Below are 27,824 nucleotides of genomic sequence, written 5' to 3'. Positions count from 1 at the left end.
GAAAACCAAGGGTGGCACTGTGCAGCATGATACATAAACCAAAAGGACCAGAACTTTAAATGGACATTTTCAAAGCAACTTAAAGTACTAAGTTTTGACTTTTAACACAATGCTGGAAACCATTCCAAGAGGTGGCAGATGGTTTTACAGTTTATGTAAAACTACAAAATGCTCACACTCTATCAAATAGGCACCACTATAAAAGACATCTTCAAATCAAATGAGGCAAAGCCAGAGAGATACACCAGCTGTTACTCTGCATAATTTAAAACATAATAGTAGCATTACTATGGTTTATTTTTAAGGAGAAATTATTTGAATTTCACAAATTTGACATATTCAAAACCAAACTGACAGGCAGACTATTATATTAAATGATAAATTGCTGAAAAACATGATTTTTACTTCAATATAACTGCGACAGCTACATAATTCTATCCCCTAGTGTCTTGGTGAATCACGCCAAAATGAGCCAAAGTCTATAAAGCAGAATATGGAATATATAATTACAGTACTATCACTGCGACAACTTTTAAGTGATTCTAATTTAATTGAAAATGATTAATTTAAAATAATTTTTTCAACATCTAAATACATATAAGTGGGTATAGTACTGTATATATGAAATTGAGTCATTTATAGAAACATACATAATATATTTAAAATATGAAATCAATTCATTTTCTTCTAGAACCAATTACCTATGATGGTTTTGAAATATAAACATTTAGCAATGTGTAATATATTTTTAATATTGGTTTTCATTAATATATTTTGACTTAAGCTAAGCAGTAATGATGAAAAATAGACCATTTGCTTAACAGCAAAACTCTTATTAAATCTAAAATATTATGGCACAAAACCAAATCACAAAAAGGCTCACATTATGTTATCCCCCTTGATTTTCTGAAGAAAAATAATGAAGGTTTCCACATAGTGCAAATGAAAACGAGACACTCAAATTTACTCAGGCAAAGAGAAGACAGGTTCTGTAAAATTAAAGCCCTTTCTAGTATCTTAACTGTATTACTAACAAGTCACTACATTATTTCAATTAGCAGGATAATTTTTCTAGGGTGAAAATAAGTGCAATTTATTTTGTCATTCTTGCTAAAATTTCTTGTCAAGTCAGGCACTGAGTTGAAAGGCCTGAGTAATTCTAGCCTATCTTAAACTGTAACCTTATTTTAAACTTCCGTATTTTATTCCAGTAGAATTTTAAGTATACACTGGGTACATTCCTCAGGTCCAGTCATATTAAATTCTGATGTTAAGCAGAAAGAGGAAACCGTGTGCAACTAGATTAATTTATCTCAAGAGAAAGGGGGCACATTAATAATTGAGATAATGTTTTCATAAATGTTGGAATCAAATGTGCCTTTTCACTTCTTTATTGGAAAACACATTAGGATAAAATTATCTCATTCTCATCAATAAGACCTAATTGCTGAGAAAGATTGTTTTCTTTGGAAAACATTGAGAAAGATTTTATTTCATATGATGTCCAAATAGCTAGAAATGTATCATGCATCCAAGTCTTGGAATAAATATATATAACCAAGGCAAGTCATTGTCTGATGCACCTTGTAATGTTTTGTTTTAAAGTATCTGAATTTATTATTGTTTAAAAAACACATTAAAATTCTGATTCTAAAAGAAACTAGCAAAAATAAATGACTAATTATTTGGCTTTTAGCTTGTAATCTTCTTAAACTATAAAAAATAAAAAATTACCTTGGCTTATTGCAAAAAAAGAAAAAACAACTCTCTTGGAATTTCCCATAAATACCCAGAAGAGTCAAAATGTACTGAATATAATGAAATGATATTTAACTTCCTTTAAATTGCTGTATTTTGAAGAACTATGATTATACACAAAGAAAATATTAACTAAAACAATGATTGCATGCTTACAAACCAAACAAGCTCTCCATGGCTGATGTATGTTAAATAACAAAAAGTCATTTTTCTACAAAGAAAATAGAGCTTCTAATGATTAAATAAAAGGAGTAACTAAGGTGAATCTGATTGTTTCTGTAATAAGCCTTCATGTGTATAATAAAGTACAACCATACTAAAAACAATGAAGTGTAAACTGAAACAAAAATCCATCATCTACTTGGAAATAGTGACAGGAAAAGATTAGCAATCCATTTATTGTACTGAAATAAAGATAAGTAACCCTGGTAAGATCCATCAGGACCTGAGTATTGAACTTGAAATAAAAAGACATTTCTTCATCAGCAAATGACTTGAAAAAATGTGAGGAAGAGAAATGATTACAGTTGCCTTTTAAAATAAAATAATCATGATTCAACTGCTTTTAATTTTTTTAATACATTTTGTTGACTTGCTATTCTGGAAGACATCTAAAAGAATAAGTTTTTGAAATGGATAATTATTACATGAGTCATTAAACAATTATTGCCAAACATTTCCGATAGACCTACAATGTATTCTACTTACTGATTCTAATGTGAATAATATGATGATTTTTTTAAATTTCAGAAGAAAATTTAGCTTTGAAAGAAAGAACTAAAATTTAAGGAACAATCTAACATTTGGAATATTGTATTATAAATGTAACAATTCAAACGGTCATGTTTCATAAAAATAAATCATAATGCTTAAAAATTTTAAACTCATATTCTATATCTTAAAAATCATTATGCTAATAAAAATCTGAAACCTATTTTATAAAGTAAGTATTTTATTTTACAAATGGATATTGGCACTAAGTTACCTGGCCCCAGTTAGTCGCATTTCACGTGATCTCCCAGGAGACTGACACATTTTGTATGGCTAAAGTTTTAAAATCCCTTCAATTCCCAAATGTACCTTATTCTAACTGTTGTTACAGATAATTAAAAAAAATAGATTATGTCCTGAATTTAGGAGTTGGATCCTGTAGATCATCCAAGCATACACCCAGCAAGTCTTTTTTCTAACAGAGAACCAACTCTAAGAACCATCCCAGCACACTCAACTCACATGCCCTGAACAATAGATAAAATTCACTTTATATCTACTGAAGTATCAAGAAAAAGAAAAACACTGACTAAATTCCCCAGTCTCTTTACTACAACAAAATTTTAACTTCATCAAGTACAAGTAAAGGTAGAAAAGAAAGGTTTCATAGTTTTCAGTGTTAATATGCATTGTTATAGTCTATATGTGTAGTGGCCTCCTGCCAACATCCCAATCATTCAAAGCCTTCTGGGGGGGAAAAAACCCACAATGAACTATGAGATTTTTGTTCATGTTTATGTCTTTGTCCCCTGGCACTCTAAAAATAGATAGGCATCAAAGGGCAATATAATAGTGTTCAGTTTTAACATTTTCAGGTAGAGTAAATTTGTACTATTGAACAATTGCTGTACGATTTTCTTAGAAAAATATTGGCAGACCTTTAACTATATGATATTAGAGTTCCTAATAACACTACTGGAACATGAGAAGTACCTAAAAGTGTTTTATAAACTTTAAACCACATTGGAGGTTACAATTAATTAGTCAGAAACAAAAACCAAAATGTTTCCAAACCAGATGCTTTGAGCCGGGGCACTCCAGCAGATAACTATAGGGTAGGTAGTTCATTGGCTTCCACGTCCTCATTTTGGGCTGCTGGGCTGTAGACTCATACACTCAGCTCCTCCTCCATCAAAAGAGGCTTTGCAGACACAGGCCTCAGGACCCCATCCCCAACAGTCACAGGAGGGTTCCGGATACCAGGTCTGTTTTTCATACTGTATCTCCATGGCCTAATATAGTGCTGGCCAGAGTGGGCACTCATCAAAAATTTGAGTGGATTAATGAGTCCCATGAGCTTTATTTAGTGAATATAAGGCAGCTCACAGTGAAAAAGATCATTTTGACAGGCCAGCAAGCCAAGTATGAGAGGCAATCTCTTGCAGAAACGATGCATTAATGGAGCCCAGGGGTTCATGTCAACCTGACCCCTGGCATTTAAGAAACTTTATTTTCTAGCTATTCCTACTTTATTATACCACTTGCCCAGTTAGTCAGATTTACATATTGTTTAAGGGTATGACTTCTGTCATCTTGTATTACATAAGCAACTTTCCATGGATGGAGGTGGCTAAGATTGGTAGGGGGATGACCTAATGATAGGCATCTATCTCTTCAGAAGTGAACCTCAATAATCCACCATGATGTTTTGGGAGAAACCTCAGGCTGACATTTTTCAAATAGGTTATTTTTAAATAATTGCTTCAGGTAAGATTGTGCCATTAAAGTATTACCCTCAATTGGGTTACACCAAAGTGCTCACACTGTTCCCATGTTTTGATTTTCCATATTGATGAAGATTACATAATTTCCGTTCATCAGAGAAGCAGCAGAATTTGCGATTTCTGATTCCCAATATAATTTGCTTAATTTGGGCCCTTTGATTCCCAATATAATTTGCTTACTTTGGGCCCTTTGAAAGTTGTGAAACATGTGATCTCTCACGTTCAACTTTGACAAAATTGTTTTTATCTGAGAAAAGGGGCCAGCCTCTCCTTCCTCCCCTCTATGCTTCTGTTCCTTTCTGCTCACTACACAGAAACACACTGGAAGTGCTTGGAATGGGACATAAAGGTCACCCAGCTCAAACATTCTAATGCCCACCCTCCGCTGCTCCATCTCCTCAGCTGTTTTCTCTTTTTCTCAAAATTCACAGAGACCAACGGTCAAATCCATTCCAGCTGGAATGGAGGCAGCTTAAGGTGACTCTGTCTTCAGACACCTGTAGGCTGTTTCCCTGGCTGGGTTGCTATTGTGTCAGTCCCAGCTCTGTCAGCCTCCTTACTGCAGGTGCTTCAGACACCAGGCATCTACAGGACCAGAGAAATCTATTCTCCGCTACCCTCTGGGGGCCAAGGGAGGCTCTCTTCGCAGTTGCCACAGCCAAAGGCCAGGCTCCCTGCCGGCCAAGGCTCCCTGCTGGCCAAGGCTCCTGCTCGGTGGGGAGGCGCTGTGCAGCCGGCCACTTACCTCCCAGAGATGCTGCGTGTTCCTCACGGCGCCTGCCTGCACCTTCTCTGGGGGCAGAAGCACGCCTTGGAAAGGTCCAATCCAGGTGCCTTGCTGGATCCTCTGCGCCGCGCAGATGCCGTAGGCCAGGCCGGGCACAGTACTGGTGCAGAGGCACACCTCGCGAGGCAGGTCCCGCAGCCACTCCGGCAGCTCCGGCGGGGGCGCGGCGGCCGCAGCGCTGCTGGTGCCCACAAGCCGGCGCAGCGAGTGCAGTGGCCCATGCATAGGGCACTCGCCGTTGCGGTTGTCCGCGCACATGTCGCAACCTGCGGGAGACAAGAAGGAGGAAGGGAAGGGAGCGGGTTAATCCGGCCGCCCCGAGCGGCCCATCTTTGAGTAAACTCCCGAGACAACAGCATCACCGCCCGCCTGGGTAAGCCACCTTCGAGGAAGGTGATGCCTTGGGGGCACCGAAGCAACTCAGAGGAGGAGGAGAAGAGAACCCGCGCCGCTCCCTTGGAATTCGCCGCACCCAGATCTGCCTGGTACCGGGCCAGGACTCTAGGCTCCCCAAAAAGCCTTCGGATCTGGGCGCAGATAGCATGTCCGCTCTCCACGGAACCGACAGTTCCAGGCTTCTTCCTCCCGTTTCAGTCTCTCTGCATCTCTCCCTCTGTCTCTGTCTCTCTCTCTCTCTTCCCTACTGTCTCTCGTTCCTTCTGACCCTCTCGCCCATTCCTGAGGTTTCTATCTGGAGTTTCAGGATGTGTTTATCCTTGTATTGCGAAAAAAAGCCCGTCTCTTGCCCAATCTGCTGTCTCGAAGAGATTCTATACTGGTCGTCTGGGTATTCAGCTTTCCTCTTTTTACAATTACACAGGAGACGATTTAAAATCACCAGACGGGGCGGGGTGGGGGAGACGGCCAGTCTATCGCGGGTGCCATTCGCACTTCCTTCGACCCAGAGACTCGGAGGCTTCCTCGACTGCCTCCCAAACGCCACGGGACGGGGCAGAGCAAGCCTGCAGCCCGGTAGAGCAGGAGCCGCAGCCCCAGGACTCCAAGGGCGCGCCCGAAATGGGGTCCCTCAAGCGACCAGTCAGTTCTCCCTCCAGGCACTGAAGCAGGGCGGGGACAGGTGGGGCGGGGTGGGGGACCGGGGTGCTGTTCTGGAGGGTTTGGTGTGCACGCTCTCCCTAGACGCCGGAAGAAAGGAATAGCAAATTTAACGATCAGCCTAATTGTTAGAGAAGGCACCAACTCCTGCCCCGACGGCTGTTCTCCAGGCTAAATGCGATTCTGTTGTGCTATACAATGGGTGAAGCTGTAGATAAAGCTGTCTCTCTCCGACACTCTCCAAAGCAGCCTGCGCGAGAGGGACCCCCACCCTCCGGGCCGGGCGGTAGTGGGCGCCCAGTATCCCTCCACTCGAACTGGGCTGGAAGGAGGCAGGCGGCCACGGGAAATAGAGCCTGTGGCGACTGCGCTGTCGGATCGCAGCGCCCTCCGGGTTATTAATGGGCCTGGAGGAGCCGCCGTGTCTGCGCCTCAGCGCGGATGGCCTGCCCCGAGAAGGTGGCCTCGGCGCCCGCCGGCGCGACCCAGCCTCCTTGGCCCAGCTTCCCTGAGGAGCCACGGCGACCCCGCGCAAGTGTCAGGCTTATGGCACTGAGCCTGACACCTGGCGAGTCCCGCCTGGCAGACACGGTGAAAGCTGGCCACTGATGGATGCGCCAGAGCGGGGCGGCGGGTGGCCCTCGGGGCACCCGGGTACCTGCCGCCGCCAGCCTTGGCCGCAGCCAGGCCTGTTGGATCACCCTGGATGTGCCCTATCTGCGCTGAAATGACCGAAATGCCCAAGAAACTTGTGAGTCTGTATGAAACGTTTGTGTCAGGAACAGCTAATCGCAACCCAGCATGGTAAGGGAGCCCTCGATTTGCCATTTGCTTCACAGCAAAGGAGGGCTGACTATGTAAGCCTCCTGTCTCACTGGAGGGGGCTCTAGCCAGCCAAACCTTTGCCTCAGTCAGCAGCTACTCCTCTACTCCTCCCAAGAGAGCTGGAAGAATGAGGGCTGCAAGCTTCTCAGAAATGTCCCCAGACCTCTGAAGTGAAAAGCAACAACTTGTTTCGGAAAGCAGAGAAGTGTCCATGCCGCTGGGCCTCCCTTGCACAAAGGCCCTCTTCTGTCCTTCCTCTGCCAGCAACACAAACTATTGTTAAAATTCTCCCAGACTCTGCTTTTGACCCCAGGGCCTGGATGGGAGTATTCTCACACTTATCCATATGTCAACTCCTCTGAAACACACACACTTCACACACCCTCTCAAGCTTATTGATTGTGAAAATAAAAACTTCAAGACATTTTGGGAATTACATGAAAGACAATAAACACAATTACAGTGCATACCATGTGTCAGACACCTGTCTAGAACCAAAAACCAGCATATTATCTAAGTATCATGATTCCCATTCTGCAGATAAAGCAATTCCCAAGCACTACTACTCCACCAAGAACCAGAAGCTAGAAAGTGGCAGAGAAAGGATTCACAGTCAAGGCTGCCTGACTGCAAGGCCTCTAAACCCAGAGATTTTTAAAAGACTAATGAAAGCTGGGGAAATTTAACATTCAAACTCATGACTCAATTGAATTGAAATATTTCACTGAAGTAACTTTGGGGGCCATGAAAATTGCTGTAGCATGATTGAGTTATAGAGGTTTCTCTCTTTCCCACACTCTTGTGTTTTCGGACATTAAAGTAAGAGATTGGATAGGAAAATACATAGATAATGTCTATAATTTTGAATGTTACTGTCTGACTTCAGAGACAGCCTTTCAGCACCTTTGCAAAAATAGCTAAAAGCAAATGACAATAAGCAAAGGCAATATGCCCATGGAAATAGAAATAAGTCACTCCAGGGAGTTACTTAACTGATTTTTTTTTCTGCTTGACTCAATGATGCAAATGGTCAGAAGAGTGTTTAGTTTTCATTCCCTAGCAGCCTGTGCCAGAGACAGTCAACTTCCAACATGCTTCTCCACACGTGTCATCCCATCAACGACATCAGCATAGGTACCAACTCCAGCCACTACCTCCATAGACAAAAAGCACACTTCTAATATTTGTAATGCATGATAATAAAACTGTGGCTAAGGCCTTTCTCCAAGAAGTCCTCTAAAGCCGTCTTCAACTTATTGTTTCATTTGTCTCCATAAAGAGTTGAAAAACTTAATAGTAGCATTATGCTACTATTAAAAGTGAAAAACTGAGGCTCTCCCAATATCTAGAAGACTATCTGTGTGTTAGGTCCACAGCAGGCTAGACAAAGTCAATCAACTTTAATTAGTCCACCCAACAGGGGTCTTCTTAATTTGTGAACCACTTCATGCTATATCAAAATATTCTGCCAGAAAAGTTGACCAACTGCCATCAAGATACATGTTATATTCCAATGTTATTTTTTAATACACAAAATCCCCCAGCTGAAACATTTGGGTTCTAACTTATGTCTGAGTCTCAGGGTAGCTTGAGGATATTAAAAACAAGTAACATTTCTTGGGATTGACAAATATGCTTAAGAAGACAAACATTCTAGCAGAGTATAAACACCTACATGAAAAGGTTTGAAAGAGAAGCAGGCTATATGAGAGGACCAAACTATGTATAAATGTATATAATATATGTCATTATATTATATATACACACACAGAGCATTCCAAGCCAAGCAATACATAATACAACTACTTAGGTTCCTAACAAGGAAGCAAGTAAATGTTCATACTTTCTCTTAAAATCAGGGGAAGAGTTTTTGTACAAGTTCATAATTGTTATTCATAAATACTCTTCTATCTTGAGTAAATCTGTCAATGCTCCTGTCTAAGCGTCTCTGAGTAAAGGAAGGTGCTGTCATTAGGTTACAGACTTGTTCGCCTCCTGGCATCAGAAGGCCAGGCCAAGTGCAGTTAAGAGCAGACTTTCACTCTTCATTTCCTATCCTTCTGTGTTGTTTCAATGTCTTTAAAGTGCAATAGATCTTTACAATATATCTATTTTAAGGTAAAGGCGGCAAAGCAGGCCATGGTTTTCTTTTCTGGAATTTCATTTCTCGTTCTAGGAAAGGTGAAATATAAAACGCTTCCGGGCTTTTGGTGTGTGGAGAGGCCAACAGTCATGTGTAGGCGCGTGGGGAGTGAGAGCTACATCACATCTTCACTCCCCAGTACCTGCCCGACGCCTTCGTTGGCTCTCACCCGCCCTGCATATAGGAAAGCAAGGAGTAGGTGAAAAGCCTGCTTCCCCGCCTGGGCGCCACTATCCACCCCGGCTGTAAATCCTCCCCTACCGCCGCCAAGGTCGCGGCCCTCAGTCTCGCAGGCCGAGACCCGAGGGGCCGGCGCCCATCGATCCCAGCCCGGCGACTAGGACCCGGGAGTGCCGCCTGCTGGCAGTGCCGCGTGCGCCCTAGGCGGGGAGGGGCGTGGGGGCTGGGGAGCCGGGCAGAGGGCGGGCAGGCAGAGCATCCGGGCCCGAACTTCTCGCGTGGGGTTCACGCCCCCGGGGCTCCAGCCTGCGGTCCCCCCACTGCCTTCTCGAGCTATAGGCTAGATGGGATGGCTGAAAGGGAGCGATGGGCGGGGTGGGGCGCCCAGGCCTCAGCGCCGAAGGCTGAGTTTTGAAGGTCCCACCCCGCTCCTGCCCACGAAAGGCTCTCTTCTGACATGAGGCGTGGCCGCCGACACCACCCACGATCCGACGTCCCCACTGCACCCCGCCACCCACCCGGCCCTCCTCCTCTACCCGGCAGGGGTCTTCCAAGCCCCGGGAGCGGGTCTAGAAGCAGATCCAGAGGCGAGGCAGGTTTGCCTGGCCGCCGGAAGGGGAGCCAATTGATTTCAGTCTCGACCCTGCGGGGCGGCCCAGCTCCTGGGAATTCTCTCAGGAACTCTCCCTCTACGCGAGTTTAAAGCTCCCCGCGAATCGCAAAAGCTCTGGGCGTTCTCTGCCCTGCCTGGCTGCGGGCTTGACCCTGGGACCAAGAGGGAGAGACAAAAAGAAGAGAGCAAGAAGGTGGGAGGGAGAAAATGTGGGTCTTATTTGTCTTCCGATGACTGTATTAATAAATTAAATGGGAGCGCCAGTTTGTGAGGGTGAGAGAATATTGCGCAGAGATAAACCTCGCCGGCCCCTGCCCCTGCGAGGCTGCCATATACAATGCGGAGATGATGAATAGGAGCCGCGAGAGGAGATCGAAGCGGGTCTGGGCTGGCTCCACTCTCTCCTACAAAACTATAGGGCAATTAATTGTGGCTTGTCCCCTCATCCTTCATCTCCTGGTGGCACATATCGATGGAGATTACTGCTGATGGACCATTTTATCACCTTGAATAAACAGTCGCCACCTCTTCTAACCTCAATCTAATATATGGCTGTATGTTCGGTTTCAGGGCGCTAGATAACGAAAGATGTAAAATAGCTAAATCATGTGTGTTATGGGATGAGGCTGGGCTTGCACACACGCGAGAGAGAGAGAGAGAGAGAGAGAGAAACACAAAAGCCCACGCACTGAAGCCAAAGCTCCCTCCCACCCGGACCAGGTCTGCAATCTAAGGCGCTCGCTGGTCTTTGACAGAGGAGGCGCAGGGCAGAAGGGGCGCAGTGGATGTTCCTCGGTTGCACAAAAAGCCTGCTGGTGTGCCACTGGGCTCGAAGTTGCCCAAACAGGACCTGCGTTTTCCACCTGGGTGGGAAGGGATTAGGGAAGGTCAGAAAACACTCGCCCTCCTTTGTCTCTTTCCTTGACCCCTTAGCAAGCAACCGGACAAACCAGTGTTAGGCCCAGACTCCCTTTTCTCTCCCCAGCCCCTCTCCCTAAACCCTTGGAAAGCCTGGTGTTCCCAACAAGGAAGCCTCAAGCCCCGCTCCCACACCCATGCACACACCGGCGCTGTTTCCAGCCTGTTCCCTGCGCAGGAGGGTTCCAGTAAATCGGGAGGGGACAGAGACCCCTCCCCCAACTGGGGAATTTGCAAAGTGGTCCAACTCTCCCCCGAGACACCCAAAGTGGCTCAGTTCCCGCCTCCCTCCCAGGTCCTAGGGAAGCACATCTTTACAAAAAAGGCCTGAAAAACTAATGGGCTGTGCTGAGAGAACAGCCGGGATGCTACTCAGAAACGCCAGGCGCGCCCTGTGACTGTCTCTCTCTACTTTTCAAGAGCAGGCAACGCACCAGCTCCCAGAACCCGGGAAGAGGCCACTCCGATGGAGCCTGACTAAATCAATGGCTTCAGGCAGCCCAGCAGCAAATGAGGGCAGTAATATTAGACGGGGAAGGAAGGGCCCCATCCCCCATTTATATCGCAGGAGGCACCACTTGATTTTTAAGAGAAGGCGGCAGCAGCAGCAACAGCAAAGCATTCAGAGCTTCGGTGGAAACTGTACTTCAGTCACAGGGTAAACTGATACGGAGTTAGGAACATACTGGAAAAGCTCACCCGGGTAGCTTGCAGTTTCTGCTGTTTTAAAATCTTTTAGAACGAAAGAGAGCTACAAGCCCCATCACTGTGACATTTACCATAGATGCCAATAAAGTTTCAAGGTGAAACTAGTGTTCCTAAGTTCTTTTCTTACAGAGCAATGATATGTATTGCTGATCCTAGGCAAAAAGTTACTTTGCTAAAGGGAAGGGAGAAGTAAGGAGGCACCCCCGCATCCCGCCCTTTTTATTTCGCCTTGTGAGAAAAAGAGAAAACAACTCAATACCTATCCTTTTAAGTACGAAGTGACAAAATGAAGCAATGCTAAGTGGTCACTTCACAGAATTCTTTTAGAGGGAGATGGTAAAAAAACTAAAAGAAAAACTAGGGAAATCTATACATGATAAATTAATAGGAGCTTCCCTCTGCCTCCACCCTTCCTTTCACTCCACCTCCACTCACATACAACTCGAGAATGAGGAGAAGCTTCTGTTTTTCACAGCCTTTCAATAACCATTATGCCAACTTCCCCTGCCAAAGGAAACGAGTTTCCCACTATTTGCATTTCTGACTTGTTTTAAGCCCCTACTTAGATTAAACTCAATCACGTTTCATCTTTGTAAAAGTACATCCCATGGCTTCAAATGAGTGCCTAAGCTTGCTTGTCCAGAGAAGTTCCTGGAAGAATGGGAGATCTCGTCTCCCAGCATTACACAGCGCTATCTCAGCTTTCTATTTTCTTTCTCAATTGCCCTTTAATTAGTGAGCAACGTGGGGTGTAACTCTAATAGGACAATCTAATTTTCTTTCCCTTCTGTCTTTTCCCCTGCACTTCAAACACTGAAACAATCCAGTTGGCTCAAAAGGAGATACCAGAAGATTAACACAATATAAATTATTTAAATAAAATTGTAATTTATTTTCTCCAACCAGAGAAAAAAGTTACCCAGGCAATAAACTGGTTCAATACCCATATATTAATTAGGAATCTATCCTAATTCTTTCTCGAATTAGTCTGTTTTCTCTGGTGAAAACGTATTAATTTTCCAGACTGCATTGTAAACAGTACAGGAGCTCAGCACACAGCCAGGGATTTGGGGTGTACTGCTGGTGACTTCTCTAGCATATATTTAATTCAGAAGTGAAATTGCAAGATTGATGAAGCATTCTCAGCCTGCAATGGCTATATTTCACTTAGCAGTAAGACATACCTTTTCCAAGGCAGTTTAAAAATCTTTTTATTTCATAATTTAAAATACTTGCTTCAAAAACACACATTCAAGAAATTCAGTAGGAGATAAGTATTTTTTGAAATCTGTTGGGAGAGTATAATGTTGTAAAACTTTCTGAAACTCTGAAATACAAGTCTTCTCAACTGCACAGCAAAATTAGAGTTGAAACCACTATTTTAAGCCAGTGCTTTACTCTCAAACTTCATAAAGAAAAAAGTAAATACGATTGCTCTTTCTGTTGGTAATTATTATCTCCATCACAGCTATGTCCAACATAATGAAAATATTCATAGACCTCAACCACGAGGCAGTTGCCCAGTGTTTTTTTTTTCATCAAATCAACGACTTAGGGAATCCTTTAAAGAGCTATAACTGAACTTATTTTGCTTTTACAACGAATTAAGAAGTTCACAGAGCGGTAGACATTTTGCAAGAAGCAACTTATTCAAAATTGAATAAAAATAAATGTTTTAAATTAACTTTACTCATACAGAAGCCAGACGAAGGAATGAGATGAAGAAAATAGCTGAATGAATGCTGATCTTTCAAATCCTGTATTGCTTTCAATCTGACGCTCTTAACACACTTTAATGTTATCTCCAGAAGTCTCTGGGAGCACGTTTAACACTCCCAACACAGTATAGGTGTAAACACAGTATAACTTCTGAAATTATCAAAAAGAAGCAGGTATAAAGCAGTACATATTGCTTGATCTTCATTTAGAGTTTTGCTTCAAAACCGCCAAATGGAACTGTACTTGTGATAAGCGTTTCAAATTGTGAATATAGAAACCGAAGCTACAGGAATTCTGATGTTTAGTTAGGCATTTGCTATTAACTTGGAGGAAGAGGGGAGTAAGCGTCTTTTACTAAATTACAGTCACCCTAATTTCTAAAAATAAATACATAAACCAACATGGGTTATGAATGTTTGCGGGGTCAAAGGTGCGCGGATAAAGCGGGATCAGCGGAATCGGAGGAGAACAGAAATTTTCTTCTCAGTAAGTAGCAGTCATTTTTTTTTCTTTTCCTTCTTTTTAAATGAATAGTAGATCTAAGAATACTGCCTGCCTTCAAGGAGAAACGGACTCAGTTTCATCTAAAATTCCTACTCCAGTGAGGCCTGGCCAGCGAACAGCTCCCGCCGGTTCCCCCACAACCCCGCGGCCCGAAAATGACCCCTCCAGAGGTGGGGTGGAGAGTAGCAAAAACAAGCCCTGGTCTGCGTGCTCCCCAGAGACGCTGAGGGTCCCTCCCTCGTCCCGGCTAAGGCCAGGCAGGGCCTGACCCAGACACCCCCTGTCACACGCTGCCAGTACCCGCCTGGCCCCGGGCACTGTCCGGCGGGAGGGCAGAGGTCTGTTAGGCCGGGTCCACGGTAGACTCCGGCCCCAAACACTTGGGACTGTGAAGCAGGTGAGGAGAGGGAGGGAGAGGGAACCCCAAAGTGCCACCGGCCGTCCCATCCGTTCTCTTTCCTTCTCCAACGCCAGAAAACTTTTGTCACAGAGATCGGGGAGGCGCGGGCCAGCGGCCAGGACCAGGTGCTCCCCACCCACCCGGCCCCGTGTCACTCCTATCCGACCCGCCTCCCTGACAGGCACCCGCGCCCGCCGGCGCCGGCGCCGGCGCCCCGGGAGAGAGCGCGCGGGCTGCGGCTACGTACGGTTGTTGGGGTCGCTGGTGTGCTGGTTGAGCGGGATGATCTCCATGCGCTGCTGGCCATACAGGTAATAGTCCAGCTCCTCTGCGCTGCAGCGGAAGCGCGGGGCGCCGCGACCCTCCCCGCCGCCGCCGCCACCACCACCGCACTTGACGGGCCCGGGGCCGGAGGTGGCGCCGAGGCACAGTTCCTTGGGGGGCAGCGGCTCGGCGGCGACGGCAGCGGCGGCTAGAGGCGCGAACACCGGCAGCTGCGACACCGGCAGGGCCGAGAGACCAGCCAGCGCGGCGGCAGCGGCCGCAGCAGCGCAGGAGGAGGCGGAGGAGGCGGAGGTGGAAGAGGAAGCCGGCGTGGACGAGGCGGAGGAGAGAGAGGCGGGCCGCGGGCGCAGGCTGTCCGGCGGAGGCTCAGCGCGCTCCGGGGGCGGGGGCGGCGGCGGCGGCTGAAGAGGCTGCGGCGCGCTCAGGAGACCCGCGGCGCCGCTGCCCTTGAGCGGGCCTGCGCCTCCGTGAGGGAAGAGTTGCTGCCAGTGCTGCAGGTAGGCTGGGTCCACTTTGAGGAAGGCCGAACCGCCGGGGTCTCCGGGCTTCAGCATGTCCGGCGCCTCGAACTGGGGGCAGAGGGCAGGGAAGAGGGGGCGCGTGAGCTGGGCGAAAGGGGCCGGGAAGAGGGCCACTGGGACCCTGGAGAAAGTGCCCGAGCCGGTGGTTCAGCCGGCGGCCGCCCGGTTCCGCGGCTCCCTCTTCCCAACTCCGCTTGGGCGCAAAGTTTACTCCGAAGCTGCGGCGCCGCACAGAGGGAGCTGTGTGCACCCTGCTCTGCCTCCCCGATCGCAGCGTCCAGCTCCCATCCAGCAATGCTGGGGCCCGACAGGAGGGCGCTGCCCCGTAGAACTCGGCTGCAGGACGCAGCCCCCGCCCTCAGCCAGCGCCCGGAGCCGACCCGAGCCGGCGTGGCGCAGCGCCCGAGCCGCGTTGGCCTCAGGCGCCAGGAGGCAGAACAGTCTCGCCGCCCGCCCCCAACCTAGGACCACCAACCTTCCTATCTACCAAGCCCTAGACTCTTAAGTCCCAGACCAGCCTCACCTTACCTGAAAACTCGGTGCTGCCGGTGGGTGCGTGCGGGTGTCTCGGTGAGCGTGCGGGTGCGCGAGAGTGTGCGCCCTGCGTGCGCTACATGCCCCTGAGCAGCGCGGGAGGAGAGTCCTAGAGATTGTGCCGCCCGGAAACCTCCCGACCTGCAAGCGAGAAAATTGGGAGGCCCGCGGAGGGCGCGAGAGTGCGGACGGACCTGGGCGCCCGACTCAACCGCCGTGGGCTGCTGCGCTTGGCCGCTGCCGCGTCCTGGCTCCTTGGTTCCACGCTCTGGCAGCTTCCCGGCTGGACACGTGGGTTTTACGACAGCACAAAATAGAGTGAGTGTGTGTGTGTGTGTGTGTGTGTGTGTGTGTGTGTGTGTGTGTGTGTGTGTGTGTGTGTGTGTGAGAGAGAGAGAGAGAGAGAGAGAGAGAGAGAGAGAGAGAGAGAGAGAGAACGGAGGGGGGAGGGGAGGCAGGCCAGAAGAAGGGGAGGGGAGAGGGAAGAAGGAAGTTCTAATTCGGCCCGACCCACATCGCCAGAGCGCCTTTCCCGCACAAACTCCTCCGCCCTCCCATCCCCTGTTTTTTTGGCGTGACGTCTGCCGCTAGCCTGTTGTCTCTTTCTGCCCATGATATGTCTTTTCTGGGTCCCAGCTCAGTGCCCTGATCTTGAAAGCAGTGGAAATGCGGCAACGGGAATGCATCTCCGCACACGCTGTGGTGTCCGCGCTGGAGCAAGCCCGCGCCGCCAGGACCGGGTTTGCGCTTTTGCCCGGCTCAGTTTTTCCTGAAGTGCTTCTGGGTGCCAGAGTCCACTCGCCCGCCACGCAACCTCTAACATAAATCCTCCGGGGAGAAAAGTTGGGGGCGGAGCGGGACGGGTTGCGCGCTGCAGTGAAACCCTCTGTCTGCAGCCCAGGAGGGAGGCTTGTCGGTGCAGGGAGGCGTAGGACCGAGGGTCCTGAGACCGAGAGCAGCTGGTCCTGGAGGGACTCAAGCTTGGCCGTGGGGCTGGGAGGCGGCTGCAATGGAGTCTGCACTCCACCCAGCGCTCTGCTGACCCCTTCTCGGGTTGTCTTCTGGAGGGCTCTTTCCCTCTCCTTCTTGGGGCCCGGAGACAAGTATCCAGTGTTACGTCTGGTGGCACAACTGCTCCGGGACACGGGCGAGGCTGTTTGCGGTCAGCTGCCTGCGGCTGCCGCAGGAGGTCACGCATAGGTTTCTCTACCCAAAACCTGGTGTTAGAGGGGCAGGGTGGGAGTGCAGCCCCACCTCCACCATGTCCTCTCCCCAGACTTTGTGCCAGGGCAGCCCTTCGATGCAGTCTCGCACCCACGAAGGAGGCACTTGCCCCCCAGCTCTTCCTGGCATTTTCGGTAGTAGATGGTAGAGGGCACAGGCAGGGTGTGTGAAATTGACCGACTCAGGAGGTACTTTCCCATCGCCGGGGTTCTGGCCATACCGTAAAGAGAAGAAACGGCATTTATCTTTTTCCAAACAACCTAACTTATTTAGCACTTGCCAATCTGAGCAATTAATAGCCATTCTTTCCTGATTTCTGCTTGTTTCTTTTTCTCTTCCCACCACTCAAGTTTTCTGAACCTGGGAAACGTGCTGTTCAGACTTCATCCGGGTCTCATTCAGGATGCTTCGATGTTGGTTGGAAGAGAGTTAGACCGAAAATGTTTTGACTGGCGTCGTTATGACAAGGTCATCCGTCATTGTTGGATAGATTGATAGCACCCAAGTTTAAGGCAGACACCACGAGGGAAAGCCCACGGCGCTGTGGTCCCGGAGGCTAACCAGGCAGTGTCCGCAGACCTCCAGCAACTCCATCGGGAGGAGAGGATGAAGTTCCAGGCCCGTTTCAATTAATCTGCTCGCAGAACTGCCGAAGAGTGGCTTGTCGGGCCACGGGAGAAGAAACAAATGCTCTTTCTCACACTCTCCTGGTTCATTGCTGAGAAACCAGGACACTCCTCTGTTCCCTGGGAGAGACAGTGAACTCCAGGGATGGAAGTCCGGACTCCGGCGGCGGTCCCGTCATTTGCCTTCTTGTTTCTGCCCAAACCCAGCTAGTTCCAAGCGCTTGGTCCCCAAGACTGGAAGTCCCCAAGAACCTACCTCTACCTGTCCCAACCCTGCCTCCCCCCTACCCTTTCACCCCCTGCCACCATTAGAAAGTCTCTGGATTTTGAAATGCTAGTTGCAGCAGCTGCTTCCGTGGCCTCATGCCGCCCACACTCTGGGAAGCGGAGGAGGGAGGGTTCCTCTCGTAATAAGATTAGCTGACCTGTTAATGAGAGTTTTGGACGTGCCGGGCGGGGGTAGGCGCTTTATGTCCATTTAATCCACCTACATGCGGAGAAGGCATTATCATTAACCCCCATATTGTAGATGGGGACCGCTGAGGTTCGGAAAGTTTAGATGGGTTGCCTAAGGTCACGCCATTAATGAGTAATGGAGACGGATTCAAATACCGTTCGGTAAGGTGCCAAGTGCATCTTCTGCCTACCCTAGTCCAACCTGTAGCCACTCGGTCCAGACTGACGCCAGAGGGGCTATCATGGGAGAGATTTGGTTCCCCTCGCTGCGGGGTCCAGGGAAGAAGCTGAGAAGGTAGCAAAGTCCCCCTCGCCCACTACGTCTACAGGTGGCGTACCTGGGTAATCCGATTCAAGCTTCCGCCACACCCACCCCGGGCACAAGTCGATCCCGAGGCTTACGGGACCCTAAGGCCCAGAGGCTACAGGAACCTCCCGTGAAGGGGGCAGGAGAAAGTTTGAGGGAGAGCCCTGAAGGTCCGGGAGCGAACGAAAAAGTCTGGAAGGGAATAGACCAGGAGTCAGGACCTCCCCTGCACCTCCCCAGCAGGCCCACTGCGCCGAGCGGGGCCCCTGCCTCCACCGCGGCTTCCGGGATGCCCGCAGAGCTCGGCATCCTCACCCGGTGCGCACAAGGGCGCGCAGCGGCGTAAGCTGGACCCCCGACGCTGCGCGCGCTCTGAGGGGCGCTTCCCCCTCACACAGTTGACCCTGGGCCCGCTTGGTCACGGCCACCCTGGCGCATCTCAATAGTTTTTAGAAAGTGAGCCCACCGACGGCAAGGACATGCACCCCCTCAAATCCGCTTCCCCCACCCCCTTCAATACTGAGAAGACCACGGAAACAAATCACTTCGACCACTTAGAAAGCGATCAAACCTTTATAAAAATCCATCGCTCCCAAATCGATGGGTGAATATTTGCTGGGAATTTGTTCCAGAGGAATAAATGAGGAGCCTTGAGTGTATTAAATGCAAACGGGGGGACACGGTGGTGTTTTTCTTCATTGATTAATGACCTCTAAAATAAAACAAGTGGGAAGAGGAGCCAGGATCGATAAATTACCCAAATTCATCATTTTCTCGAGCATTTTCGCCCCGAAAATTATCCTTGGGAAGCCCATTGTACCCTGAGCTGGGAGGGGAAGGATGTAGCTGGAGGCCAGGGTAGGGAGGGAGCAGCAGAAGGGGTAGGAGGAGAGAAGGGGGTTCTGTCCAGGAGACCCTCTATCTGATTCCGTTTAACATACAATTCAAAAGTTTGCCTTTCATATTATTTTTTCTTGATGGGGGAGTGGAACAAATGGTCGGTTGCCTTTGACAGGACTCCAATAAAGGATTCAGCAGCTCTCCGCTCTGCCCTGGGTGCTCCTGCTTCTAGTAGGTTTAAGGTCACGGGTGGCTGAGTTAATAATTCATTAATATAGACATTTATTCAGAAGGGTTCGCTGAGATCCACTCTTCCTGCCTCCTCCCAGAGATTTGTTTTCCTAGGAAATGGATGGGGGTGGGGGGTGGGCTGCAGGTGAAAGGAGGGGGGCGGGAGGAGAAGGAAAGGCTGGATGTAGCTAGGAGGAATCTTTGCTGAGCCGTATTAGCAGACAGGTCCCTTGAGCCTGCCAGCAAAAACTTGGTTGAAAATGTGGTATCTAAACAGCACAGAGACTCTGGCCTGCGGTGGCCCTTTTTCCTTCCATACCTGTTCATTCGCTTGTTTAGAAAGCTCCTTTCCTCCATGGTTTGGGACCAGGGAGGAGCCTTCTCACTGAGGATCTTGGATTGCAGGCAAAAGGGAAAGCTGTGAGAAAAAAACAGGACCCCACCCCCATCCCTATGAGGTTCCCAAGGGAGGAGCTTTGAAACTTGCCCAGACTTGGAATCTAAGGGAACCTCCTCTCCTGAGGGCACAGGCAACTTTTGGAGGACACTCCACCCCTCAGAAATGGGATCATGGAGAAGGGGGTTGGAGGCGGAGACTGAAAGTAAATAGTAAGTAATAAATCAGTAATGGTTAGATGGGAATAAGTGCTATGGAAAGCAATAAAGGATAGAGGGAAAGGGAGTGCATGTAGGTGGAAGGAGTTACTGTTTTACATATAGTGGCCAGGGAAAGCTTCTGTTAGAAAGTGAAATTTAAATAGAGACTTGAAGCAAGAAGATGCCAGTTTTCTGTCCAGAGCGGGATATTCCCTGCCCTAACCTATAGCCAGTGGCTAAAGCAGTAAAAGGGGCCTCTCCTGAAGAACTGTCAAGGATTTGCCTCCTCGCTACTGGCCACACTTGCTTCCCTTAAGCTGCTGTGTACTACTCGATATTCTTTCAGTACCTCCATTGACTGTTCTCATCAATTGGAGTCGCCTAACTTGCTGGTAACTTAGACCCTGACACGGTGACCGACCTCCAACTATCTGGACCTCAATTTCTTCAACAGTCCAAAGAAGAGGCAGGACAAATGCAGTGTTCTGTCCTAAGCTTTTATGAAGCAGCTACCGAATTCTGACCTCCCCACCCTATTACATATTTTATACCCTACTCCTGCATGCTGTGAGTCTAAGATGAGCAGGGTGTAAAATGTATTGCCCAACTAAAAACTAGAAAACCCTCACCATTAATTTTAATCACTGCAGTCTGCCCGTTGATCCCTTTGCATCTTCACTTGTTCATCCTTACTTAGTGACAGAAGACAGCGCCAGCCACCATTGGAAAGAAAGGGTGCGAGGAGTGAGGCAGAGGAGATAGAAGGCAGTGAAATGCTTAGCACACAGAAGCCAGCTCTGGCCTCAGGTGATGCAGCAGGTGCCTCGCCATTCATCTGACATACCCTCCTCTTCTGAGGCCTTGGCAATTTAGACATGTCCTTCCCTCAGCTTTCCTCCTCTCACAAAAGTACTTGGAAGTTCAGCTCCTCACTTTGCCAGGTCAAAAATGGCCTCTGGGTCCGGGAGACCAAGCCCAGGAGATTTGTGACCACTCTCTTTCATCCTCCGCCAGGACCCTGGCAGACAGCACCTATTCACGTTACTTGAAATGCAGCCGAAGCCTCCAGTTCCTTTCACCCTGGTCACCCAACAGCTGCCAGTCAAATGATGCCTCTCAGCCACCTCAGGCCTGATTTGGATTTGACCTACTGACCTTGAGGTGAAAGGCTCTGCAGTCCATTATGAATCCCTGGGGCCAGTTCATTCTCCCAGGAAAGCCTCTAAATATATCCTTTCCGTTTGCAGGGAAATCAGCTATTATAATTTGCAAAGGTCTCGTGAGTTTAAAACATATTGGTGGCAGTTCAGTCCCATAAAGATTTAATGAATAGCAACTGGGTGAAAAACAACTCCTTTTTTTTTTTTTTTTGTCTTGACAAGTCAAGGAAAAGAGAAATGATTAGACAAGAATAGCTATCCCTTCAGAAACTCACAAATTCCCTTCACTATCTCCTTCCCATCCCACCCTTTCCCCAGGAATTTAATCTTATATTTTTCCAAGTATCTGTAAGAATAGACAAACCCAATTATAGTTACCTACAATTTAACAGCTGTACAGAATATCTAATGAACACATACTGTGTGCACGAGACTATTGGTAGGGATCTCTGGGACAATCTTCTTTGAAGCTCTTCTAGCAAATGCTACCTGGTTCAGACACAGTCTTCTGTTGGTCACCAGATTGTTGCTTAAATTAGTTGAAGCTTATAGGACTTCAGTCATAACCAGGATGAGGTAAGCATGTTACAGTACATCTGTTCGAATTAGAAACATATGCTATGGTTGATTCACCTTCTGAGGGTTGGCAGTTCCTAGTGCATGGTAGGTTCCCCTGAGTGCCCAGCAACAGTCTCTAGGAGCAGCTTCCAGCTACCCTCTAAATGAGGGGGTTCCTGAGACTTCCCCCCTCCCAGGGCGGGTTGAGGAAAGAGAATGCATATTCTCACAGCGGCTCTTACATATACCTAGAGGAACCTGAGGAAGCCTGTCTGCCTCCCTCATCATACACTTTCCTGTCTGGCTGCATGCCTTTACCCTCCTCTGAGCTGGGGTGTCAGAGGGTGACACTAAGGCTTGTTTTTATTGGATTGTTTCCGGTGAGTCTATGTTCTCTATGTAAAAGCCTCTCAAAGAAAAAAATAACCTATTCTCCGTTTCCTTTTGAAACTGGAAAACTTGTCTTTAAACCAAAATAAAGACACTGTGCAGGTCACTGTGAGGAAAACCAAAAGTGTGTAAATTGTGGTACCCCTGCCTTCCATAATCTTCTACTGTGGAAATCTTTCAGAGACCTAGTTTCTCTCTCTAATGCTCGGGTTCAAGAGCTGACAAGTGGCATAAGAGTTCAGAAGAGAAAGCCATCCCTTTAGGAGACAATCAAGCAAAGCTTCACAAACGAGATGGGCCATAAAGATTGTGTGCATTCAGGTGGGTAGGGAGGAACTGAGGAAAAGTGTTCCAGGACGGGGGCTGCCTGAGCAAAAACCCGAAGACTGGTCCCTACACAGTCTGAGAGGCCCAGGTGACTTTTCTTCCTCCATTCACGAGAAAAACTGGATGGCTGGCTGCCCTCCTTAAGAACCAGGACCTCATCTCCCTGGGGGTCCTGAAGTCACATTCCATAGATTCTGAAAGATGCTTTTATGAGAATGTTGTGACCTAAAATATGCTCAGGCTTAAGTCTGAGAATCAACTCACAATTAGGGAAACTGAAAAACAGTTCAGGGCTCCAGGATAAAGCCATCAGTACAGCACATATTCTCCTGGACTGTGATTTGGTGAGCTTGGCAATGCCATTTCCTAGCTCTGGATGGCACACACTATGATTTTCTGAGCTGCTCTTTTTAAACTATAAAGAACTACAACAAAAAAAAGGAATGAAATGCAGTTTAAAAGACTAGTGATCCAGATACATCTGAGGTAAAGACCATGTAGGAAAATGTTTTAGAATAAACAAATACACTTCCCAAAGATCCTTACAGATTAACCGTAGTTATATAGCTAGACTGCATCAGCCCTGCTTCTTTTTAACATGCCTCTCTCGCAGACTTTGGGGACAAATGACCACGGTCTACTAACCTCACATACACACAGATGCACATGCATACACAGTCCCTCACAGACTTACACCAACTTGGTCTTCTTTCTGTAAGGGAGAAGGGAGTGGAGGGGCTCCTACTCTGTATTCTGGAATGAAACAACAGAGACAAAGAGTGCCAATCTGTAAGGTTAATCTGTAAGGAAAGGATCTTTGGGAAGACTCCAAGTTATATAGTTAACCTCCCTTCAAAAAAGAAGAAGAAGAAGAAGAAGAAATTGCAAAAAAGCAACTTAGGATTCCTGACTCTCAAAGAAAAAAAACTATTTTTGCATTGATAAGACTGCCAGATTCTTAAATAGAATGTTTTAAAAGATGAATAATCATAAAATACATCCTTAGTCTATTTTTATAGTACAATAATTGACAAGTGATACTGGAACATTGATTGGAAAATTACCATCTTGACAATTCAGTGGTTAACAACTTGATTTTTAAACTATTGCTAAGTTTGACCATATTTTGGGCATTTCCTTCTGCTCTGTCTACAATGGCAAGCATTTTTCATTGAAACATATGTTTGGGTGGACAAGTGTTTTATTTGGCAGAAACCTAATAGTTTAAGTATAGATTTTTAAATCAACTGTTTGCTCCGTAAGCTAATGTTTTCAAACAGAAGCATTTTTCACAATTGTTTCCTCAAAACAAATGTTTGTCTTGGAGCCAGTAGAGAAGGTCAAACATTCCAGTAACCTCCTCGCTTAGGACTGTCACTACTATTCTGTCACCTTCAAGATCTTCTGTTGGTCTCATTCTCTTACAGATTTCCATGAGTTGCTTTACAGGGCTAGTCCCCCAAAAAATGATTTTTTAAGATGAGTGCAAGCATTTCTTAAATGACTTTTTTCTTGGTAAAAATGAATTGGAAGTACATTCACATTTAGCAATGTTGCATTTCATTTGTGTAGATGCCATTTTACTTGTGACATGATTATTGGCACTCTTTGTCTTTTCATTGCCAGATACAGAATGGGTGGTATGAGTCCTCCGCTCCCTTCTCCTTGATGAAAAAGGAGAGGATCAAGTTGGTGTGAGTCTGTGAGTGACTGTGTGTGTGTGTGTGTGCGCGCGCGTGCGTGAAGACAGAGGACCACTGTGATTTATCCCCAGAGTTTGAGAAGGGTGTTAAAAAGAAGCAGGGCTGATCTAGTTCAGCTATATTACTGAGGACTCGTTCAACTGCAGGTGGCAGAAATTAAATTGAACTGATCTCGACTGGGAAAAAAAGGATTTGATGGCTCAAATATTAAAAAAAAAAACAGGTTATGGGTTTTGGGTATAGATGCATTCAGAGGTTCAAACAACATCATGAAGTCTCAGTCTCTTAGTCTCTTCATTCTGCCTTCCTCTGTTCTGAATTTAATGTCAGGCAGAATCTTTCATGTGGTTGCCTCCACCTTATTCTTCTAGAATAAGATAGCAATCCCAGAAGAAAAACTTCCAACAGAAATTCTGGAATTGAGTCTTAGACTGATATGGTCACCCTATTATCCCTGAACTAGCCATTACAGCCAAGGAAATAGAGTACATTGACTGGCCAGGTCTGGACCTGAGCCCTAACCAAGCCACACAGATTGAAACAGCCTTCAGGACATGGCACAAGGAGGAGGAAACCAGGTGGAGACCAGCAACTTCTTGAGTCTAGGAGATGGAGCCAAGATTCTGGGGAGGCCAAGGTGGCTAGAGTGCAGAACAGAGGACTCAAGAGGATAGTCCAGATAGTCGCAGAGTCCTGGAGAGTGTTCAGCAGCATGCTGATCAGGTATGTGGATGAGTCACCCATTTCTCCTCTCCTGAGGAAATAAATGATTCTAGTACCTTAAATATCCTTCCAGAGATATTCTGTACATATATAGTTATACCTTTTCCTCAAATGTTGTATGATACACTGCTCTGCATCTTAGTTGTTTCCATTTAAAAATATAGCTTAGAGATTGTTATATACTTGTAAATAAAGATGATTTTCAATTTGTTTTTATAATGTTATGCTCCAATTAATTTAAGCAGTTGTCTACTTTGTTTCTCTGCCATCTGTATTTTAATAAGCAGTTCTTCATTGATAGCCATTTAGATTGTTTCAAATCTCTTACTATTACACATAATTTTGCAATTTGGCACATATATCCTTTTGCATTTCCTGATGAATATTCAATGGTGTGCTAAGATGGGTTTGTGACAGCCATTTGTGAAAAGTTCAGGAATTCTGATATCAGTTGATGTTAGGACAGTAGCTTGAAATTGGTGTGGTGGAACTACTTACACCACTAAAATTGGCAAAGTCTACAAATAAAAGGCTTCCATTACCCTTTTTTGTGGGGCGAATTGATTGTTAAGTATTTACAGTTCCCACTGAATACCTTCCCAGTAGTAGAATTGCTGGGTCAAAGGGTATGTGAATGTGCAATGTTTTTATATAATATATATATATATATCTCCAAATTGCCCCTCATTTATTTTATTTAGTTACATAAAAAGCTTTGAATAATCTGCATTGCAAAAGCCATAACAAATTTAAATAGAAAACAAAATTCTGGAGAAAAAAATTATAGGCAAAAACTTTTATAAAGTTTTTCCTGAATCCTCACCAGCACAGTGTTATCAAAATTGTTGATTTGTGCTAATCTGATGGTTGAAATTGGTTTCTCTGTGAGGTTGTAATACTTATGTCACTTATTATTGGAAATTAGCAACTTTTTATATGTTGAGTTTTCTTTTTATTAAAAAACTCAATTTATATCCTTTGCCTATTTTTCCCTTTAGATTGTGTGTGGTTTTGTTTTTTGTTTTTGTTTTGTAAAAGCTCCTTTTATGTTAAGACAGTTAGCCTTCTTTGGGTTCTGGGTTATGAGTAGCCCATTTTTTTTCTCTCCAGAATTTTGTTTGCTATTTAAATTTGTTGTAACTACCTTTATCAATATTTTCTCTCATGCTTTTTAAAAATAACAGCTTTATTGAAATATAAGTTACATATTATAAAATTTTCCTTTTAACTGTGTGCAATTCAATGATTTGTAGTATATTTGCAGAGTAATGCAACAATTAGCACTATCCAGTTACAGAAGATTTTCATCACCTCAAAAAGAAACCCATTCTTTTTGATACAGGTTTCTCATTGTGATTTTTATTTGTATTTCTCTGATAGCTAATTATGTTAAGCATCTTTTTGTGTGTCCTTTTTTCTTTTTCTTTTCTTTTGTTTTTGTTTTTGTTTTTGAGACAGGGTTTTGCTCTGTCACCCAGGCTGGAGTGCAGTGGCATGAACACAGCTCACTGCAGCCTTGACCTCCTGGGCTCAAGTGATCCTCCTGCCTCAGCCTCCCCAGTAGCTAGGACCACGGGTGCACATCACCACATCTGGCTAATTTTTAAAATTTTTTGTCAGTAGGGACAGGGTCTCCCTGTGTTGCCTAGGCTGATCTTGAACACCTGGGCTGAAGGGACCCTCCCGCCTTGACCTCCTTGTAATGCTGGGATTACAGGTGTGGGTCAGCATGCCTGGCCCTTTTTGTGTCTCATGGGCACTTGTAAATTTTCTTTGGAGAAATGTCTATTTAATTCCTTTCCCCATGTTTAAATTAGGTTATTTGTGTTTTTGTTGTTCTAAGAATTCTTTGTGTATTCTGGATATGTTTCCTCTCAGATATATAATGTGCAAATATTTTCTCCCAAACTGTGCGTTGTCTTTTCATTTCCTTGATGGTGTTCTTTGAAGCACAAAAGTTTTAAGTTTTCATGCAGTCCAGTTTACCTATTTTTTCTTTCCCCACTGGTCTTTTAGGGTCATATTATGACTAAGGTCATTAAGATTTACTCCTGTATTTTATTCTAAGAGTTTTATAGCTTTAACTCTTATAGTAAGGTCTATGATGCAGTTTGAGTTAATTTTTGTAGATAATATGAGGTTGGGGGTCCAACTTCACCCTTTTGCATATTCAGTTGTCATGGTACCATTTCTTGAGATGACTATTATTTCACCATTAAGTAGTTTTGGTATCCTTTTGAAAAACCAATTAACTATAAATGTAAGGGCTTATTTCTGCACTCTCAATTTTATTCCACTGACATATATCTCTTCTTGTACTAGCGCCACACCGCCTTGATTATTGCAACTGTGTAGTTAGTTTTGAAATCATGAAGTGGGAGTTCTCCAGTTTTGCTCTTCTTTTTCAATATTTTTTTCTTTGCTATTCTGAACTTCTTTACTTTCCATATGAGTTTTAGGAACAGCTTGTCAAATTCTGCAAAAAAAGCTAGCTGAGATTTTTATAGGGATGTGTTGAATCTGTAGATCGATTCAAGGAGTATTATATTCTTAGCAATATTAAGTCATCTGATGCATTAACATGAGATGTGTTTTCATTTATTTGTCTTCTTTAATTTCTTTTGACAATGTTTTGTAGTTTTCAGTTACGAGTCTTGCATTTTTTGTTAAATTTATTCCTAAGTATTGTATTATTTTGATACTATTATATATGAAGTTGTTTTCTTAATTTCATTTTTGCATTGTTCACTGTTGTATATGTAAATACAATTGATTTTTGTGTGTTGACCTTGTATCCTGCAACCTTGCTGAACTTTATCATTTAAAATTTGTTATTTTGTGGATTCATTAGCATTTTCCATAAAAGATCATGTCATTTGTGAATAAAAGTAATTTTACTTTTTGTTTGCTGATCTGGATGTCTTTTGTTTCTTTTTATTGCCTAATTTCCCTGGCTAGAGCCAGTACAATATTGAAGAGAAGTAGCAAGAGGAGACAATCTTGTCCTTCTTCTTAACCTTAGGGAAAAACGCAATCAGTCTTCTACACGGTTAGCTGTGAATTTTTCAAACATAGCTTTTATCAGTTTGATGCAGTTTTGTTTTTTCCCAGTTATTTTATTTTATTTTGTTTACCATGAAAGGATGTTGGATTTCGTCAAATGTATATTCTGGTCTATTGGAATGATCATGTGATTTTGTCCTTTATTCTGTAATACATTGTGTTGTGTTGCTCAA

The 27,824-nt window shown here is 45.7% G+C and overlaps 1 protein-coding gene and 1 long non-coding RNA gene across 5 annotated transcripts in view, besides 2 other annotated features; one reads left to right on the top strand and one right to left on the bottom strand.

Annotated features, from left to right (window-relative positions):
• PRDM6 (PR/SET domain 6) overlaps positions 1–15,719 on the bottom strand; it is a 105,026-nt gene extending 89,307 nt beyond the window's left edge. For 3 of the 4 annotated variants that reach the window (XR_001742346.2, NM_001136239.4, XM_047417878.1), the window contains exons 1-3: positions 15,441–15,719; positions 14,354–14,960; positions 4,999–5,306 (exon numbers count right to left, since the gene is read on the bottom strand). Coding sequence is in view for 3 of the 4 variants with exons in the window: in NM_001136239.4 (NP_001129711.1) it covers positions 4,999–5,306; positions 14,354–14,945 (900 nt within the window). In the remaining variant the exon portion in view is untranslated. Of the gene's footprint in view, positions 1–4,998; positions 5,307–5,422; positions 5,734–14,353; positions 14,961–15,440 lie in introns of those variants that run through there. The other variant, XM_011543726.4, reaches the window with a different exon arrangement.
• On the top strand, positions 14,644–18,729 carry PRDM6-AS1 (PRDM6 antisense RNA 1). Its single transcript, NR_146771.1, has 2 exons — positions 14,644–14,888; positions 17,021–18,729. It is a non-coding gene; the product is annotated as a PRDM6 antisense RNA 1 (long non-coding RNA).
• Positions 15,980–16,524: an enhancer, noted in NCBI's record as "H3K4me1 hESC enhancer chr5:122424131-122424675 (GRCh37/hg19 assembly coordinates)". NCBI's record gives its function as "activates a minimal SCP1, AML or CMV promoter by ChIP-STARR-seq in primed H9 embryonic stem cells {active_cell/tissue: H9 hESC(primed)}" and the evidence as "EXISTENCE:reporter gene assay evidence [ECO:0000049][PMID:30033119]".
• Positions 16,525–17,069: an enhancer, noted in NCBI's record as "H3K4me1 hESC enhancer chr5:122423586-122424130 (GRCh37/hg19 assembly coordinates)". NCBI's record gives its function as "activates a minimal SCP1, AML or CMV promoter by ChIP-STARR-seq in primed H9 embryonic stem cells {active_cell/tissue: H9 hESC(primed)}" and the evidence as "EXISTENCE:reporter gene assay evidence [ECO:0000049][PMID:30033119]".

The sequence above is a fragment of the Homo sapiens genome, chromosome 5 (assembly GCF_000001405.40).
Source record: "Homo sapiens chromosome 5, GRCh38.p14 Primary Assembly".
Classification (NCBI taxonomy): domain Eukaryota; kingdom Metazoa; phylum Chordata; class Mammalia; order Primates; family Hominidae; genus Homo; species Homo sapiens.
Note: the sequence above shows the minus strand (reverse complement) of the source record. Positions and strands in the feature narration are given on the sequence as shown.